Here is a 15,369-nt window from a genome sequence, read left to right as displayed (position 1 = left end):
TCGGTGTTGAGGAATCCTCGCCACATGCACACACATGAGATATGGAGAAACAGGTTCAGTAAGGATTTGGGTCTTACCCAGGGCCTAGAGAAGGGTCAATGGCAGAGTAGGGATGATAATTCAAATGCTTTAGTTACTTTTCCCTTTACAATAACCCAGACAGACTTCCAGGGGCCCCGTGTCGTCACTAGTTTGAGTCTGGGGTTGGAGGTGCCCATCCTGGGCCCGGAGTTTTGATTCACCCATCATAGCCCTCAAGACTCCAGGCTGGCTGGGCGCGGTGGCTCACGCCTGTAATCCCAGCACTTTGGGAGGCTGAGGCGGGTGGATCACTTGAGGTCAGGAGTTCAAGGCCAGCCTGACCAACATGGAGAAACCCTGTCTCTACTAAAAATACAATCCAGCTACTCGGAAGGCTGAGGCAGGAGAATCGCTCGAACCCAGGAGACGGGGGTTGCGGTGAGCCGAGATCACATCACAAACAGCCCTAGGCAGTGCGGGGCCCCAGGCGAGGCTCAGACCCTGCCTCCACAGAGCTGTCTGGGTGATCGTGCCTCCTCCGTGGAGGCAGGGTCTGAGCCTCGCCTGGGGCCCCGCACTGCATAGGGCTGTTTGTTTTTGCGATGGAGTCTCGCTCTGTTGCCTAGGCTGGAGTGCAGTGTGGCAATCTAAGCTCACTGCCTGGGCAACAAGAGTGAAATTCCATCTCAAAAAACAAAAAACAAACAAACAAACAAAAAACTCCAGGCTGTATCCCTGGAGGAGAAGGGAGCCCACAGTCCCCGGAGAGTTCCTGGAAGAGGCCCCTGTGTGTCCGATGAGGTCACAAAGCCCCTCCACCAGAGGCTCCTCCCCCAGACCCCTGCTGTCCACCCTGGCAGGGCCATGGCGGAGGCCCGAGTCTCCCAGCCTGGGGCATCTCCACGCTCTGTAACGCTGAGCTCCAGGCACCCGTGAAGCCCCACGGGTCAAGGCTGGTGGGCCGGGGCTGGGAGGCCTGCACGCCTGGGTTCTGGGTCCCTAAACCAGTACCCATCCACCACAGCCACCATGATCTGGCTTCGAAACAGGAGGTGCCTTGAGCCGCTCCAGGGCACCCCGAAGTGGGTCCCTGTTCTGGGGGAGCTGCAAAAGACCCTCCAGAAGGGCGAGTACCTGCCCCTCCGTCCGCTGCCCATGTTCGAGAGTAACTTTGTTCAGGTCTCCAGTTCCCAGTGCCCCGGGGCTGAGAGGGACAGAGGGGAAGCAAGGCCCCCCGTGCTGGGGGATCTTGAGAGGGAACGGGATTTAGCAGTCACTGTGTGGGGGACGATCAGGAGGGAGGCTCAGGCTGTGGCTGCTGGAGGAAGGAGTGGTCCCAGCCCCCTCTCCCTGGCTGCCCCAGGTGACCCATCAAGGGGGCCCAGTGTTCGTGAATCACAGAACCAACCGGCTGGCCATGGGCGTGGCCGCCTCCCTGCCAGGCCTGGTGTTGCCTGACATCTTGCTGATCGGCCAGCCCGCCGAGGACAGGGACTGCTCCGGCCTCGTGCTGACCAGGTGCCGCATCCCCCAACCCCTCGGCCGCCCCCTCCACCCCTCCTGCTCTAGACGCTCCCCTCTCCCTCTCCCAGGATGATCCCCCTGGACCTCGTCCACCTCTGCGTCCATGACCTCTCTGCCTGGCGCCTGAAGCTGCGCCTGGTCTCGGGCCGCCAGTACTACCTGGCCCTGGACGCCCCTGACAACGAGGTGGGCTTCCTGTTCCACTGCTGGGTCCGCCTCATCAACCTGCTTCAGGAGCCGGCTCCCACCTGGACCCCCAGGACCACGCGCACGGCCCCCCTGGATATGCCGCTGGCCGAAGCGCCTGCCTCCACCTGGCACCTGCAGGTGGGATCCCAGCTCCACAGACCAGGGCATGGCAGGCCCCAGGAACCCTCCGGCCAGATCCAGAGGGGACTGCGACCAAGAGCCCAAAGTCTAGGCCGGGGGCCTGGACCCCTGAGTAGAGGGAGGAGGGGCTGGGGGCCTGGACCCCTGAGTCGAGGGAGGAGATGCTGGGGGCCTGGACTCCTGGGTCTGAGGGAGGAGGAGCTGGGGGCCTGGACCCCTGAGTCGAGGGAAGAAGGGCCTGGGGTCCTGGACTCCTGGGTCTAGGGAGGAGCTAAGGGCCCTGGACTCCTGGGTCTGAGGGAGGAGGGACTGGGGGCCTGGACTCCTGGGTCTGACGGAGGAGCTAAGGGCCCTGGACTCCTGGGTCTGAGGGTGAAGGGCTGGCAGTCTGAACTCTCCTGGGTCTGAGGGAGGAGGGGCTGGGGGACTCCTGGGTCTGAGGGAGGAGGGGCTGTGGGGTCTGGACTCCTGGGTCTGAGGGTGGAGGGCTGGCAGTCTGAACTCCTGGGTCTGAGGGAGGAGGGGCTGGGGACTCCTGGGTCTGAGGGAGGAGGAACTGAGGCCTGGACCCCTGAGTCAAGGGAGGAGAGGCTGGGGCCCTGGACTCCTGGGTCTGAGGGAGGAGGGACTGGGGGCCTGGACTCCTGGGTCTGACGGAGGAGCGGCTGGGGGCCTGGACTCCTGGGTCTGAGGCAGGAGGAGCTGGATCGTCAGGTCCTGGGAGCAGGAGGGGGCCTAGGCCTCTCGCTGGGTAGGTTATGGAGATGTGGAAGCCCGGGCCCCTCCTGCCTCCCTCTATCTCTGCAGGACCAGCCCATCAGCAGACATGCAGGTGAGCAGGCCCTGCTGTTTGTCAGGACCTCTGGGTTCTCCCCGTCGCAGGGACAGAGCTGCACCCTTTGGCTCTTCCCCCTTCCTTGGTGGGGCCCTCCACAAGCTCCTGGGGTAGGTCCTCGTGCCCTCCCCTGGGGTCCCTGACCCAGGATGTCTCCTCTCTTCCCAGTCAGGGTTGCTGAGCGCAACTTTCCGCATAAGACGGTGGCTGCTCAGAGACAGAGGAAGGCCAAGGTGAGCCGGCGGGGTGGTGTGGGCCCAAGGGGCTGCCCCTGTCTAACCGTCCCTTCCTCACCCACTCCAGGCGCTCAAGCGCAGTTTCAAGTCTCAGGCCGTGGGCGACTCTGTGCCCCTCATCTGGTCGCAGCTGGAGCATGCTGACGTCAGGAAGAAACCTGCAGAAAAGAAGTGGGCGTGGGGTCTTGTTGCCGGTGGGTGGGTGGGAGAAGGTGGGAGACCCCAGCCCAGATGCCACCAAAGTCCCACGGTATTGCTCCTGCAGGTCCCACTCAGACCCCCGCCCCGACAGAACTCACACCCAAATCCGCTTGCCTGGTAAGATCAACCCACCCCACCCCTTGCCACAGTGTGTGGCTCTGGTTCCTGCCCCAAAGGGCTCAGACGGCTCCCCCATCCAGAGAAGACCAGCATCACCACCTGGACCATCTTCAGCATCATTTCCAGCACCGCCAACCAGACACAGTCCTCTCCAAAGGCCAGCCTTATACCCGGGGCAGGGCCCAGGCCCCAGAGCTGAGGGAGGAGGGGCTGGAGGCCTGGACTCCTGGGTCTGAGGGAGGAGAGGCTGGGACCTGGACTCCTGGGTCTGAGGGAGGAGGGGTGGGGGGCCTGGACTCCTGGGTCTGAGGGAGGAGGAACTGCGGCCTGGACTTCTGTGTCTGAGGGAGGAGGGGTGGGGGGCCTGGACTCCTAGATCTGAGGGAGGAGGGGCTGGGGGCCTGGACTCCTGAGTCTGAGGGAGGAGGAGCTGGGGCCTGGACTCCTGAGTCTGAGGGAGGAGAGACTGGGGCCTGGACTCCTCAGTCTGAGGGAGGAGGGGCTGGGGGTCTGGACTCCTGGGTCTGAGGGAGGAGGAGCTGGGGCCTGGACTCCTGAGTCTGAGGGAGGAGGAGCTGGGGCCTGGACTCCTGAGTCTGAGGGAGGAGGGGCTGGGGGCCTGGACTCCTGAGTCTGAGGGAGGAGGAGCTGGGGCCTGGACTCCTGAGTCTGAGGGAGGAGGGGCTGGGGGCCTGGACTCCTGGGTCTGAGGGAGGAGGGGCTGGGGGCCTGGACTCCTGAGTCTGAGGGAGGAGGGGCTGGGGCCTGGACTCCTGAGTCTGAGGGAGGAGGGAGCAGGGGTCTGCCCTCCCGGGTCTGGGGTCTCCATGCATCCTGACCATGTATCCTCTCCCCTCTGTCCACCTACAGGCCTGCACATCTGCATCTGATGAAGCCACAGGCCAGGGACATGTGGTTGAGAGCCCTTCACACTGTGTCTCAGCTGACAGCCCTGATGGCTTCTTTCTGGGCTCCTGCAGCTCCCTGGACCCGTGCCTGTGGCATCAGGACACGGAAGACCTCATGGACTCTGGGGGCAGCACTTTGTCGTCTGCTGCCTCCGGTCTGGCTCCCTATCCCCCGGCTGCCTGCCTCTCCACACCCTACTCTTCCATCCCCAGGGGCAGGGAAAAGGCCGGGCCTATGGGCTCCCACCAGGGGCCGGGGCCACCACCCTGCCAGAAGGCCCCATCTGGCCTTGTCACATCTTGTAAGGCACCGTTCCTTGTTGACCAGTCCCAGAAGCTCCCAGCTGTACCTGCTTCATCGTGGAAACCCCCACCTGGATTGGCTCCTCCCCAGAAGGCCCCAGCTGCGTCAGCTCCTCCCCGGAAGGCCCCAGCTGTACCTGCTCCATCCCAGAAGGCCCCAGCCGTACCTGCTCCATCCCAGAAGGCCCCAGCCATACCTGCTCCATCCCGGAAGGCCTCAGCTGCGTCAGCTTCTCCCCGAAAGGCCTCAGCCGTACCTGCCCCACCCCAGAAGACCCCACCCCCATCTCAGAAGGCCCCATCTGTACCTACCATTCCCCAGAAGGCTGTGTCCCCCACTGCTCCAAAGAAGAAATCTCTACTCCTCCCTGCCCCATCCCAGAAGGCTCTGCCAACCTCACCTACCGAATACCAGATGGCGCTGAGCCCGCCTGCCTCACGGGGGAAGCTCCCTGGCGATTTTGACGTGTTGCCAACAGGAATTCCTGGAAGAGCCGTGCTGGAGAGAAGCCAGTCTGGAGGGAAACCGGAGCCGGTGGTGACGGTGCGCACCCAGGAGACAGACGTGGTGGAGATGACGACTCAGGCCAAGTCCCCGGAGTCGCCCTTCACCGTGACCAAGAAGGAGTCCAAGGACATCCTGATTAGCCAAACCAAGGAGGTGACCCTGGAGGCCTTCAGGGGCCAGGGGAAGTTGGAGGACTGGGCCCACTGGGCGAAGCTTGAAGAGAGGTCCCCGGACCTGCCTGGCGTGAGATCCAAGGAGTTGGAGCAGCGGAAGAGATGGGTCAAGGCCAAGGAACTGGCCGTCGAGGGCCCCTCCCAGGAGCACAGCAGGCCCTTCTCTGTGGAAGCGCTCACCCTCACCAAGCTCATGATCACGGCCAACTCCAAAGAGCAGCCCTCGAAATCCGCTTTGGTCTCACTTCCCTCCTGGCTCTTGGCGACTCCGCAGGCGTCGGCCACGTCAATGATGGCTTCAGTGCCCTCCCGCCCCGGCCAGCTGTCCTTACTGGAGGGGAAGCCAGTGGTGGTCAGAGAGCAGCCAGAGTCGCACACCTGGGTGAAGGAGGGCAAGCGGCCATGGGGCGAGATGAAGGAGCAGCCATGGGGCGAGATGAAGGAGCCACCCTGGGACCCCAAGGGGCCACCCAAGGTGCCCTTTCGCTCCAAGCCCACCTCTGCCAGTCTGAAGAGGGAAGGAATCTCCCAGGCGCCTATCCCCCTGACCGCCTCACCGTGGGAGGACTTACGGCCATCGCCCCTCTCGGAGACCCTCATCTCAAAGATGGAGGCCACAGCCAGGGCGTCCCAGCAGCCCAAGAGGGTGTCGCAGGAGCCCATGAGGATGCCAGCCCAGCACCCCCTGGCCACTGTGGGGTCGTCTTCAGAAATTCTTTTGCCCATGCTCTTAGAACTTGAAACTGTGAGGAACACGGCCACCAAGGCAGAGGAGATACAGGAGGAATCGGGCGTCTTGAACCTTCTGCCCAGGTAGCGGGGGTTAGCAGCTATTATTTACTGTGAGCTCTGCTGTTTATGAGACAGAGATGATCACTCTTTCCTTTCACTTTTTTTTTTTTTTTTGACAGGGTCTCACTCTGTCACCCAGGCTGGAGTGCGGTGGTATGATCTTGGCTCACTGCAACCTCCGCCTCCTGGGTTCAAGCAATTCTCCTGCCTCAGCATCCTGAGTAGCTGGGATTACAGGCGTGTGCCACCACGCCCAGCTAATTTTTGTATTTTTAGTAGAGATGGGGTTTCACCATGTTGGCCAGGCTGGTCTTGAACTCCTGACCTCAAGTGATCCACCCGCCTCGGCCTCCCAAAGTGCTGGGATTACAGGCGTGAGCCACCACGCCTGGCCCCCTTTCACTCTGATATATAGTGAGTGCCGACTCTGTGCCAGGCATTGTTCTAGGCAGTGGGGATACAGTGTCCGACCATGGGGCTGGTGGTGGTGGGATGTGCTCCTGGCTTCTAGCAGGTAGAGACCAGGGATGCTGCTGAGCAACCTACAGTGCACAGGACAGCCCCCACCACAGCCCAGGTGCTCTAGGGAGCCCTCACGGAGCTGGGGTTGTTTGTGTCAAGACCTGGAGGAGAGGACGGAGGAAGCCATGAGGACATCTGGGGGGAAAGCATCCCAGCGGAAGGAACAGCCACTGCAGTCCCTGAGGCAGGAGTGTTTGTAATGTGCTGGACCACGGGGATCCCGGGGTGGGAAATGCGGTCAGAGGTGCAGCAGGGGGGCGCCCATCATGGAGGACTTTGCAGACAATTTTAGGGACTTTGGCTCTGACTCTGAGCGAGCTGGAGGGTTTGGAGCAGAAGAATGATGGAGACGGATTTATGTGTGAAGAGGCTGCCTCTGGCTGGGGCATGGAGGATGTAGGGGGGCAAGAGTGGGCACCTGGAGGACAGAAAAGGCCACAAAGACCCCATTTCCATGAAATGTCCATAACAGGCTGACCCGTAGAGACAGAAAGTGAATCGTTGGAGGCCAGGGGTCTAGTGTGGAGGAAGCGGGAGTGACTACTCATGGGTTGGAGGTCCTCTCCCCTCCCTTCCTCTTCTCTTTTCTGACGGAGTCTTGCTCTGTCGCCCAGGCTAGAGTGCAGTGGCGCGATCTCAGCTCACTGCAACCTCTGCCTCCTGGGTTCAAGCAATTCTCCTGTCAGCCTCTTGAGGAGCCGAGTAGCTGGGATTATAGGTGCTCACCACCACGCCCGGCTGATTTTTGTATTTTTAGTGGAGACGGAGTTTCACCATGTTGGCCAGGCTGGTCTCGAACTCCTGACCTCAGGTGATCTGCCCACCTCGGCCTCCCAAAAGTGTTGGGATTACAGACGTGAGCCACCGTGCCCAGCCAGGTTGGAGGTTTCTTTGTGGGTGATACAAATGCCCTGGAACTAGGTAGAGGTGGTTGCATGACATTGTGAATGTGCCGAATGCCACTTTAAGGGGTACATTAAAAAATGGTGACAAGTTTGGGCAAAAGAGTGAGACCTCATCTCTACAAAATGTGAAAACAAAAAAAGTTGGTGGTTCACACCTGTAATCCCAGCACTTTGGGAGGCCGAGGAGGGTGGATCACGAGGTCAGGATTTCAAGACCAGCCTGGCCAAGATGGTGAAACCCCATCTCTACTAAATATACAAAAATTAGCCGGGCATGGCGACGGGTTGCAGTGAGCTGAGATCGTGCCACTGCACTCCAGCCTGGGCAACAGAGCGAGACTCCGTCTCAAAAAAAAAAAAAGTTAACTAGGCATGGTGCCATGTGCCTGTGGTCCCAGCTACTCTGGAGGCTGAGATGTGAGGACTGGTTGAACTGGGAAGTCGAGGCTGCAGTGACCCACCATCGTGCCACTGCACTGCAGCCTGGGCAATAGAGTGACACCCTGTTTCTTTTCTTTTCTTTTTTTTTTTTAGAGATGGGGTTTCGCCATGTTGGCCAGGCTAGTCTCAAACTCCTGACCTCAGGTGATCCATCCGGCTTCCCAAAGTGCTGGGATTACAGGGGTGAGCTCTATTGCCAGGCTAGAGTGCAGCGGTGTGATCGTGGCTCATGGCAGCCTTTATCTTCCTGGGCTCAAGTGATCCTCCTGCCTCAGCCTCCAAAAGCCCAGCCAAGTTTTTGATTTTTTTGTAGAAAAGAGGTCTCACATGTTGCCCAGACTGAAGTGCAGTGATGCCATCACAGCTCACTGCAGCCTCAAGCTACCCAGGCTCAGGTGATTCTCCTGCCTCAGCCTCCTCAGTAGCTGGAACCACAGGCACGCACCAACACGCCTGGCTAATTTTGGTATTTTTTGTAGAGATGGGGTTTCACCATGTTGTCCAGGCTAGTCTCAGACTCCTGGACTCAAGCAATCCTCCCGCCTCTGCCCCACAAAATGCTAGGATTACAGGCATGAGCCACCGCACCTGGCCGGGATTCTTAATTCGTACATTTGGCTGTCAGTGTAAACAATCCTGAGTCAGGCCTGATATTAACCAGGCAGGAGGGAGAGAAGCTTAGCAGGGATCTAGAGGTGAAACCACCTGCCCAGATTCCAGTTACTTGTCTGCCCCTAGAGCCAAGACTCATTGATTCCGCCTCGGATTTATTGTGCATTTACTACTGCCAGACTCTGCCCCAGGCAGATACAACAGTGAGCCAAACACACAGCAAGACCCGCCCTGGGGGACGCTCTCCTAAGCCAGGCATCTGCAGCTCTTAAAGCCCTGGGTACCCCTCTCTCCCTACCCTGTCCCCCAAAGCTCTCTCTGGCTTGCTTTCTCCCTGCAGCCTGCAGCACTCCCAGCACTCCGAGTGGCCGGATGCGGGGGCTTAACCTCAGTTGGAAACTGTCCAGAGGAGCCCAGCGCTGCCAGGTACCCTTTAAGACCCTGGAGATCTGCCTTAGACCTGGGGGCGGGGGGAGGGGGGCGAGGGAGGAGGGTGGGGGGGGCGGGTAACGGAGGGGGGAGGACGAGGGGGGCGGGGGGGTTCCCAGGAGCCCGGACCCCACCGCTGCTCTTTCCTCTTAACCCCACAGGCCCCGAGGGTTCTGTGCGCACCGACTGTAGGAAGCGGAATGTTGAAAGCCGCTTGGGGGGATTTGCCCCCTCTGGTAGATACCAGAACTATGGATATGCCTTTATATATTGGGGGGCGGGGGGGGGCGGGGGCGAGCCCGTGGAGCCGCCCAACTTCGCAGAGATTAAAGCTTGAGCCTGAGACTCAGCGAGTCGCACCTCGGTGCCTGTGTGCACGCGCAGGCCCCCGAGGGGGCGTCGGGGGAGCAAGGGGTGGGGTGGGGGCGCCCCTACCAGCCCCGCGGTGCACGACGGCTCCCATTGGCTGGGGCTCGGGCGTCCTAGCCAATCCGGCCGCGGGGTGCGTTTCTCCTGACCCGGGTGGGACCGCACCCCGCGGACTCAGAAGCGAGCGGCACCCCGGGACCATCCCACAGCAGATCCAGTGGCCGCCAACGTCAGGCTGGTGAGGGCACGACGGGTGGGGTTCAGGGGCGGGGGTCAGGATGGGGAGACGGGTCGGAGCGAGGGCGCCCCCTCGGCCCCACGGAGTCCCCGTCCCGTCCCGTCTCGCAGGAGTTGCCTCCTTCGTGGATGTTGGATGTGGAAGCCCAGGAGCCCCCCAAGGGGAAATGGTCGACGCCGCCCTTCGACCCGCGCTTCCCCAGCCAGAACCAGATCCGTAACTGCTACCAGAACTTCCTGGGTGAGACCTGCTCAGCCAGGTTATGGGAGGAGCAGGGTGTGACAAGGGACGGCAGGGAGGGGCACTCCCACCCTAAGTCCCGCGGAGACCGTTAGGGTGGGAGGCCGGGCGGGGCCGGGTTGGTGGGGGCGGGGCCTGGTCGAGAAAAGGCGGGGCTGAGCCTGGAGGGGCGGGGCGAGGTTGGTAGGGGCGAGGCCTGATCTGGAAGGTGCGGGGCCGAGTCGTGAAGGTGCGGGGCGAGGTAGGTAGGGGCAGGGTCTGGGTAGGAGGAGCAGTGTGAGGGAGGTAGGGGTCGGGGCCTGGCTGGGAGGGGCGGGACGGAGGCCTCCAGGGGAGAGGGAGGCGGGACGAAGCAGCGAAGAACTGGGAGGGCCCGAGCAGTGGAGGGGCGGGTCCTGTCCTGGAATGGGCGTGGCTTGCCGCGTGACCCCCGCCCGCCACAGACTACCACCGCTGCCTCAAGACCAGGACCCGCCGCGGGAAGAGCACGCAGCCCTGCGAGTACTATTTCCGCGTGTACCACTCGCTGTGCCCCATCAGCTGGGTGAGTCGGCAGAGGGGGCGCCGGGCCAGGCGTGTGCAGGGCTCGGCCGAGGCTGAGCCGGCGTCCCGCTCCCTGCCTTTCTGCTTCCCAGGTGGAGAGCTGGAACGAGCAGATCAAGAACGGGATTTTCGCCGGCAAAATCTGACTGCCCCAGCGCGGCTTCCTCTGAAGATGCAGTGATCCTGCATCTTTTTGTCTCGCGGAGCCCCGGGTCTCGGTTATCCACCCCTACCTCCCAGTGTCTAAGCCACGAATAATGGTATGCTGTTGCTGATGTTTCTTCTTAATGCCCAGCCAGCGATGCGTCGTGGTGGTGGTGGGGATCCTCCGTGTGCCTGTGTCCGGGCTAACGCTGCTTTTTCCGATAAGGGGCAGGTGGGGGACTGCTGCTCCATCAGGTAGCAGCAGGCAGTCAAGGCCCTAAGACAGGAAGCCGAATGCCTCCCGTCCCCCTTCTCCCTCTCCATTCCAGCAGGTAGATGCCTCGCGTTGACAGCTACGAGCCAGCCCAGGGTCCCCAGTTCTCAACACTGTCCCACCCAGATGGCTCCAAGGTGCTCCTGCCTCCAATCACCACACCTACCTCTCACCTCAGTCCTTTCCCTACTCCCCTCCTGCCTGGACCATCTCCCCAGGCTCCTTCCCCATCCCACCCCTGATCCATCCCATCTCGGGTCCTGAGGGGTCTTCTTTGTACCACCCAGCGCTGACTCCATCCCTTCCTCCCCCACTCTCTGGGCTCTCCACCACTCTCCATCACGACCCCGCTCCCACCTGGCTCATTTCCCCTCCCAGAACATCGAGATCCCCATCATGTGAGCCAGCTTATTTCCAACAGAATCCCCTGGTGTCCACGCTTTCGGCACCCGCACCCACAGCCAGGCGTAGCAGCCTGCTCAGTTCTCCAATGCATCAGGCTCACCCCGCACCCCCACCCCGCAGAGGCCGCTGTCAGTCTCTCCCACCGCACACATCGCCGCAATTTCTCCTGTGACCCCCGCCAGACTGCCAGCACCCAGAGGACGCTCAGAGCTCCCTCGGAATCATTCTTTACTCCTTCCCCATCCCGGCAGTAACACGGAACCGCATTCCGGTTCCAGACGCCCTTTGAAGTCTTGCCTCTCCCCAGGCCAAGGAGTGCCGCTTGACAAAGCCCTAGGGTTCCAGCCTGGTCCTGCTGAGGGAGCCGTGAGACCAGTCAGCCTGGGGTGCTGGTTTTCCCAACGGGTACTCCCTGAGCTATCAGCCTTCCAGAGGGGCTCCTAGGAGGGGGAAGCCCCATCCTCTGACTGAAGCGGTCCTATGAGGCCCTGTTCAACCCCAGGGTTCAAAGGTGACTACAACTAATCATGACAACTTGCAGGGTGACCCTAGACAAGCTTCTTGACCTGTGTGAGCCCGAGGTTCCCCAAGGCAAACCAAGATGGCTCAGGGCCCCATTATCAGAGGAGGTAGGGCTGGGTGAGCTCAGGGGGCTGACTCCATCCTGCTCCCTGCCCCATGATGACCTGTCCATCACCTGCCCTCCATGCTGCCCAGGACACACCCTAGATGAGCCATCCCCCAGGATGACGCCACCTCTGAGATCTTGGTCTCCTGGCTCCGTCTCTGACCACAACCCAAGAATGGGGTGAGGGCACAGGGTGTGGACTCAACTACAGGAGGGCTTCCTGTTCATGCAACGTCCCCAGAGCCTTGACGAATGCACAGAGGCGCTGGCAGAACCACGGGGGCAGGACCCCTCTCTGAGTCACAGAATGGAGCTAAGTTGGTGAGGTCACCCAGGTAACATCCCAAGCACAGGGTGCCACACCTGTGCAGCCACAGCAGCCTCCTGACCTCCCCAGAGCCGTGTCTAGAACCCATTTTTGCCCTGTTGGCCAGCCTTCCTCCTTCCTCCTCCTCCCATCATCCTATCTTCACTGCCTCCAGACCTCATCTCAGCACATTCTCACACTCCCGACCCCCTCTGCAGCCGCCACTGCCCCACTGATGCCTGAGCCAGGGGCAGGGGCAGACCTGCCCGGCCTGGCCTCCAGCCTGGTGGACCATCACCTGTGCAAACTCCGAACACCTCCTCCAGGTGCTCTGGCTGGCTTTCCCTGGTGTCCAGTAGCCGCCTCCTGAGACCCCTAATGCCAGCCTCACAGTCTCAGCAACCTCCCAGGTCAGAGAAAACCAAGGCCACTCTACTTATTCCTGCCCCCACCCAGAACACCTGCATCCTTGTTCGCTCAACATCCTCCTCCCGCCTTCTTTCTCTACTCCTTTTCCTCTTCTTTCTCCTCCTCCAGCCCCATCTCTTCAATCCTTCCATCATCCACTTTCCCCTCCCTCTGCGGTTCTTCCCTCAGAACCTGCTCCGTCCTCCCGGCCTCCAGACCACGGATCCTGAAGGCCACCTGCGCTGCCTCCCCTGCTCACTGTCCCCTGGCTCCTAGGGGCCGCAGCTTCGCCTCCTCTCTCTGGGTTTCCCCCTTTCCCATCCTGAAGGTGGCAGAGCCCGAATGGTTCTGAGAATGAGTTCAATCTAGGCCCTGAAGCTACTAACCATGTGGCCTGGGACAAGTTCCCTAGCCCCTCTGCGCTGTGGCCTTTTCATCTGAAATATGGTAACAATGACATAATAATGACACCTCACTTCCTAGGGTTGTGGGGAGGACGGCGATGTGAAAACATATAAAGCAGTTAGAACAGTGTCTGGCCCCCCTCTTCACAGTGTGTGGGGTCTCTAGCCATAGAGACAATCTGAGTCACTCGAATCAGCATGTCGGCCCAGTTCTGGTGCCCCATATTGTGCTGGACAGTGAGACTGATTGACCGGACAGACAGCCCAGGGATGACCCCATAAACCAGTCCTGGAGCTCTTGGAGGCATCTGGTTACTAGCTTGCAGCATAAAGGGCCAGAGTGCCCCCACAGGGAGACACGGGGTCAGGGTGGGGAGTCCTTGGCCAGGGCCCTGCCTGCCTGCCAAAGGCTGAGAGCAGTTCTAGTGCCACACACCCAGGTCAGTGCTGGTTGTATTTCCTGTTTCACTAAACTTCTTTCCACCTTCACCTACAGCCACCAGCCTTCGAGTTCCTTGTTTCCCTTGCTCTGGTCTCCACGTGTATGATGGGGTTCTCAGGCCCAGGCTTCGACCAGAGGACCCTCTGCCACCACCGTTTCTTCCTGTCCTTGAGCTACCTTGGTGAACTCATGACCCCAGGCCCCTGCTCCACCAGGATGTCCCCCAGGTCCTGCCAGCTGGGAAGTGCCAGCATGAACGCCTCCAACTTCGTGGAAGCCAGGGTCCCCTGCAGCTGAGGGACGCCAAGCAGACACACCTGCCCTCCCCAGCCAGCTCCTGTCTGTATGGGCGAGATGACTGAGAGCGCCCACGTCCCTAAGGCTGTCCTGACCCTCCATGCTGCGACAAGGACAGGGAATGGTCGGTCACTATGGGCCTGGTGTCTCCCCTCCCCCACCACCCGGTGCTGCCCAGCTCAAGCCAGAAGCTGACTTTGGCCGCCATGGGGACATCAGGCAAGGTCTGGAGACATTTTTGGTTGGGGCAGAGGCATGCTCCTGGCATCGAGTGGGTGGAGACCAGAGAAGCCGCTCAACATCCTGCAATGCATGGGACAGGCCCTGCCTAGAAACACCAGCTCAGCATGGCAGCAGTGCGGAGGCCAGGAAACCCTGATCGCCAGTTTCTAACGCCCTCACCATTTTTATTTTTATTTTTATTTTTTTTGAGACAGAGTTTCGCTCCTGTCACCCAGGCTGGAGTACAATGATGCGATCTCAGCTCACTGCAACCTCTGCCTCCCGGGTTCAAGTGATTCTCCTGCCTCAGCCTCCCGAGTAGCTGGGATTACAGGCATGCACCACCACGCCCAGCTTATTTTGTATTTTTAGTAGAGACGGGGTTTCTCCGTGTTGGTCAGGCTGGTCTCAAACTCCTGACCTCAGGCAATCTGCCCACCTCAGCCTCCCAAAGTGCTGGGATTACAGGCGTGAGCCACTGCACCCGGCTCACCACTAGTTTTTAGCCCTTTTTGTTGGGGGTGGGGTGGGGGCAGAGGAGAGGCGGATACAGAAACTTGTGAGAATGTGATGAACGCTCTGAACCCCCTATAAAAAATGTGCATGTAAATATATACTCTCAACATTTAAAAGATTTCAGAAGGTTCCTGGAAATTCCAATGTCCACCCATGAGTCCTCAGCTGAGACTCCCTGCTCCGCTGCCCTCTTTGTCTAAGAGCTGTGGCAACAGCACCTGAATTTCAGAAACAAAAGGCCGGGCGCGGTGGCTCACACCTGTCATCCTAGCACTTTGGGAGGCAGAGGCAGGAGGATCGCTTGAGCTCAGGAGTTCGAGACTAGCCTTAGCAACACAGTGAGACACAATTGCTACAAAAAGATTTTAAAATTAGTTTGACGGGGTGGCGTGTGCCTATGGTCCCAGCTACTCAGGAGGCTGAGGCAGGAGAATTGCTTCAATCCAGGAGGTGGAGGTTGCAGTGAGCCGAGATGGCGCCACTGCACTCCAGCCTGGGCCACAGACCCTGTCTCAAAAAAAAAAAAAAAAAAAAAAGGAAAGAAACGAACAGCATGGCTTCAGTTCACTCAGAGACAAATCCTTGGGGACTAGCAGTGGAGCCATCTCTCTGCTGTTTGATGGCCTGGAGCTCTCTCCGTCCTTATTTTTAACATGAGAAAGAAAACAAACAGGGCTTAGCAGGATTTGCATTATAAGAGGAATTTTCTCCCTGCAAAAGAAATAGAACAGGCCATATTATCCAACGTATCTAATGAGTTTTAAAGTAAACAAGGTTTGACCCGTTCTCAACTGCCCCCTTGTCCCCGCCTCCCAGGGCCACCGCTGAGGTGCTCATATGGGTCTCGCTGTGGCCACTGCTCCCCTGTTGCTCCCTCTCCACCAGGGCCAAGGAGAGCTTCCTGATACCTGCAGCCTGGCCTCGTCCACCTCCACAGTAAGCTTGTTCAAGGCTGGCAGATGCGGAGGCGCACATGGGGGGCCTGGAGCCAGCAGGTGACCTGTAGCTGCCCAAGTGAGACGGGCTCGGTGGCCCAGTGAGAAAAGTATCTGGGAGAAGCTGGAGGTACCTG

The 15,369-nt window shown here is 60.1% G+C and overlaps 2 protein-coding genes across 6 annotated transcripts, besides 5 other annotated features; both read left to right on the top strand.

The window, feature by feature from the left end:
* Window positions 446-1,050: an enhancer, noted in NCBI's record as "H3K4me1 hESC enhancer chr19:55874435-55875039 (GRCh37/hg19 assembly coordinates)". NCBI's record gives its function as "activates a minimal SCP1, AML or CMV promoter by ChIP-STARR-seq in primed H9 embryonic stem cells {active_cell/tissue: H9 hESC(primed)}" and the evidence as "EXISTENCE:reporter gene assay evidence [ECO:0000049][PMID:30033119]".
* GARIN5B (golgi associated RAB2 interactor family member 5B) lies at window positions 857-9,209 on the top strand. The gene is made up of 11 exons (NM_001145402.2): window positions 857-1,200; window positions 1,385-1,539; window positions 1,614-1,872; window positions 2,683-2,707; window positions 2,879-2,943; window positions 3,014-3,117; window positions 3,212-3,264; window positions 3,348-3,424; window positions 4,138-5,972; window positions 8,772-8,857; window positions 9,022-9,209. Exons 1-10 carry the CDS (start codon window positions 1,051-1,053, stop codon window positions 8,815-8,817), a joined length of 2,769 nt encoding a protein of 922 aa, NP_001138874.1. The 5' UTR covers window positions 857-1,050; the 3' UTR covers window positions 8,818-8,857; window positions 9,022-9,209.
* Window positions 3,872-4,372: an enhancer, noted in NCBI's record as "H3K4me1 hESC enhancer chr19:55871113-55871613 (GRCh37/hg19 assembly coordinates)". NCBI's record gives its function as "activates a minimal SCP1, AML or CMV promoter by ChIP-STARR-seq in naive H9 embryonic stem cells {active_cell/tissue: H9 hESC(naive)}" and the evidence as "EXISTENCE:reporter gene assay evidence [ECO:0000049][PMID:30033119]".
* Window positions 4,492-4,621: an enhancer, noted in NCBI's record as "active region_15091". NCBI's record gives its function as "activates an Ori minimal core promoter by ATAC-STARR-seq in GM12878 lymphoblastoid cells {active_cell/tissue: GM12878}" and the evidence as "EXISTENCE:reporter gene assay evidence [ECO:0000049][PMID:35858748]".
* Window positions 9,210-9,397: 188 nt separating the features above from the next.
* COX6B2 (cytochrome c oxidase subunit 6B2) lies at window positions 9,398-14,413 on the top strand. Of its 5 annotated transcripts, NM_001369798.1 has the most exons (8): window positions 9,398-9,467; window positions 9,578-9,707; window positions 10,151-10,251; window positions 10,343-10,510; window positions 10,727-10,805; window positions 11,381-11,584; window positions 11,791-12,036; window positions 13,317-14,413. In NM_001369798.1, exons 2-4 carry the CDS (start codon window positions 9,596-9,598, stop codon window positions 10,394-10,396), a joined length of 267 nt encoding a protein of 88 aa, NP_001356727.1. In that variant the 5' UTR covers window positions 9,398-9,467; window positions 9,578-9,595; the 3' UTR covers window positions 10,397-10,510; window positions 10,727-10,805; window positions 11,381-11,584; window positions 11,791-12,036; window positions 13,317-14,413. The 5 variants fall into 5 exon arrangements, with proteins under 5 accessions (NP_001356727.1, NP_001356728.1, NP_001356729.1 ...); NM_001369799.1 differs by lacking the exons at window positions 10,727-10,805; window positions 11,381-11,584 and having other exon boundaries at window positions 11,791-11,881; NM_001369800.1 differs by lacking the exons at window positions 11,381-11,584; window positions 11,791-12,036 and having other exon boundaries at window positions 10,724-10,805.
* Window positions 9,814-9,863: a silencer, noted in NCBI's record as "silent region_11025". NCBI's record gives its function as "represses an Ori minimal core promoter by ATAC-STARR-seq in GM12878 lymphoblastoid cells {active_cell/tissue: GM12878}" and the evidence as "EXISTENCE:reporter gene assay evidence [ECO:0000049][PMID:35858748]".
* Window positions 9,974-10,083: a silencer, noted in NCBI's record as "silent region_11024". NCBI's record gives its function as "represses an Ori minimal core promoter by ATAC-STARR-seq in GM12878 lymphoblastoid cells {active_cell/tissue: GM12878}" and the evidence as "EXISTENCE:reporter gene assay evidence [ECO:0000049][PMID:35858748]".
* Window positions 14,414-15,369: the final 956 nt, after the last annotated feature.

This window comes from Homo sapiens, chromosome 19, assembly GCF_000001405.40.
Source record: "Homo sapiens chromosome 19, GRCh38.p14 Primary Assembly".
Classification (NCBI taxonomy): domain Eukaryota; kingdom Metazoa; phylum Chordata; class Mammalia; order Primates; family Hominidae; genus Homo; species Homo sapiens.
Note: the sequence above shows the minus strand (reverse complement) of the source record. Positions and strands in the feature narration are given on the sequence as shown.

Coding starts and splice junctions, on each gene's coding strand:
- GARIN5B (NM_001145402.2), top strand. CDS start 1,051: ATGATCTGGCTTCGAAACAGGAGGTGCCTTGAGCCGCTCCAGGGCACC. Junction 1,540..1,613: donor TCCGGCCTCGTGCTGACCAG/GTGCCGCATCCC, acceptor TCCCTCTCCCAG/GATGATCCCCCTGGACCTCG. Junction 3,118..3,211: donor AAGAAACCTGCAGAAAAGAA/GTGGGCGTGGGG, acceptor TTGCTCCTGCAG/GTCCCACTCAGACCCCCGCC.
- COX6B2 (NM_144613.5), top strand. CDS start 9,596: ATGTTGGATGTGGAAGCCCAGGAGCCCCCCAAGGGGAAATGGTCGACG. Junction 9,708..10,150: donor CTGCTACCAGAACTTCCTGG/GTGAGACCTGCT, acceptor CGCCCGCCACAG/ACTACCACCGCTGCCTCAAG. Junction 10,252..10,342: donor CGCTGTGCCCCATCAGCTGG/GTGAGTCGGCAG, acceptor TCTGCTTCCCAG/GTGGAGAGCTGGAACGAGCA.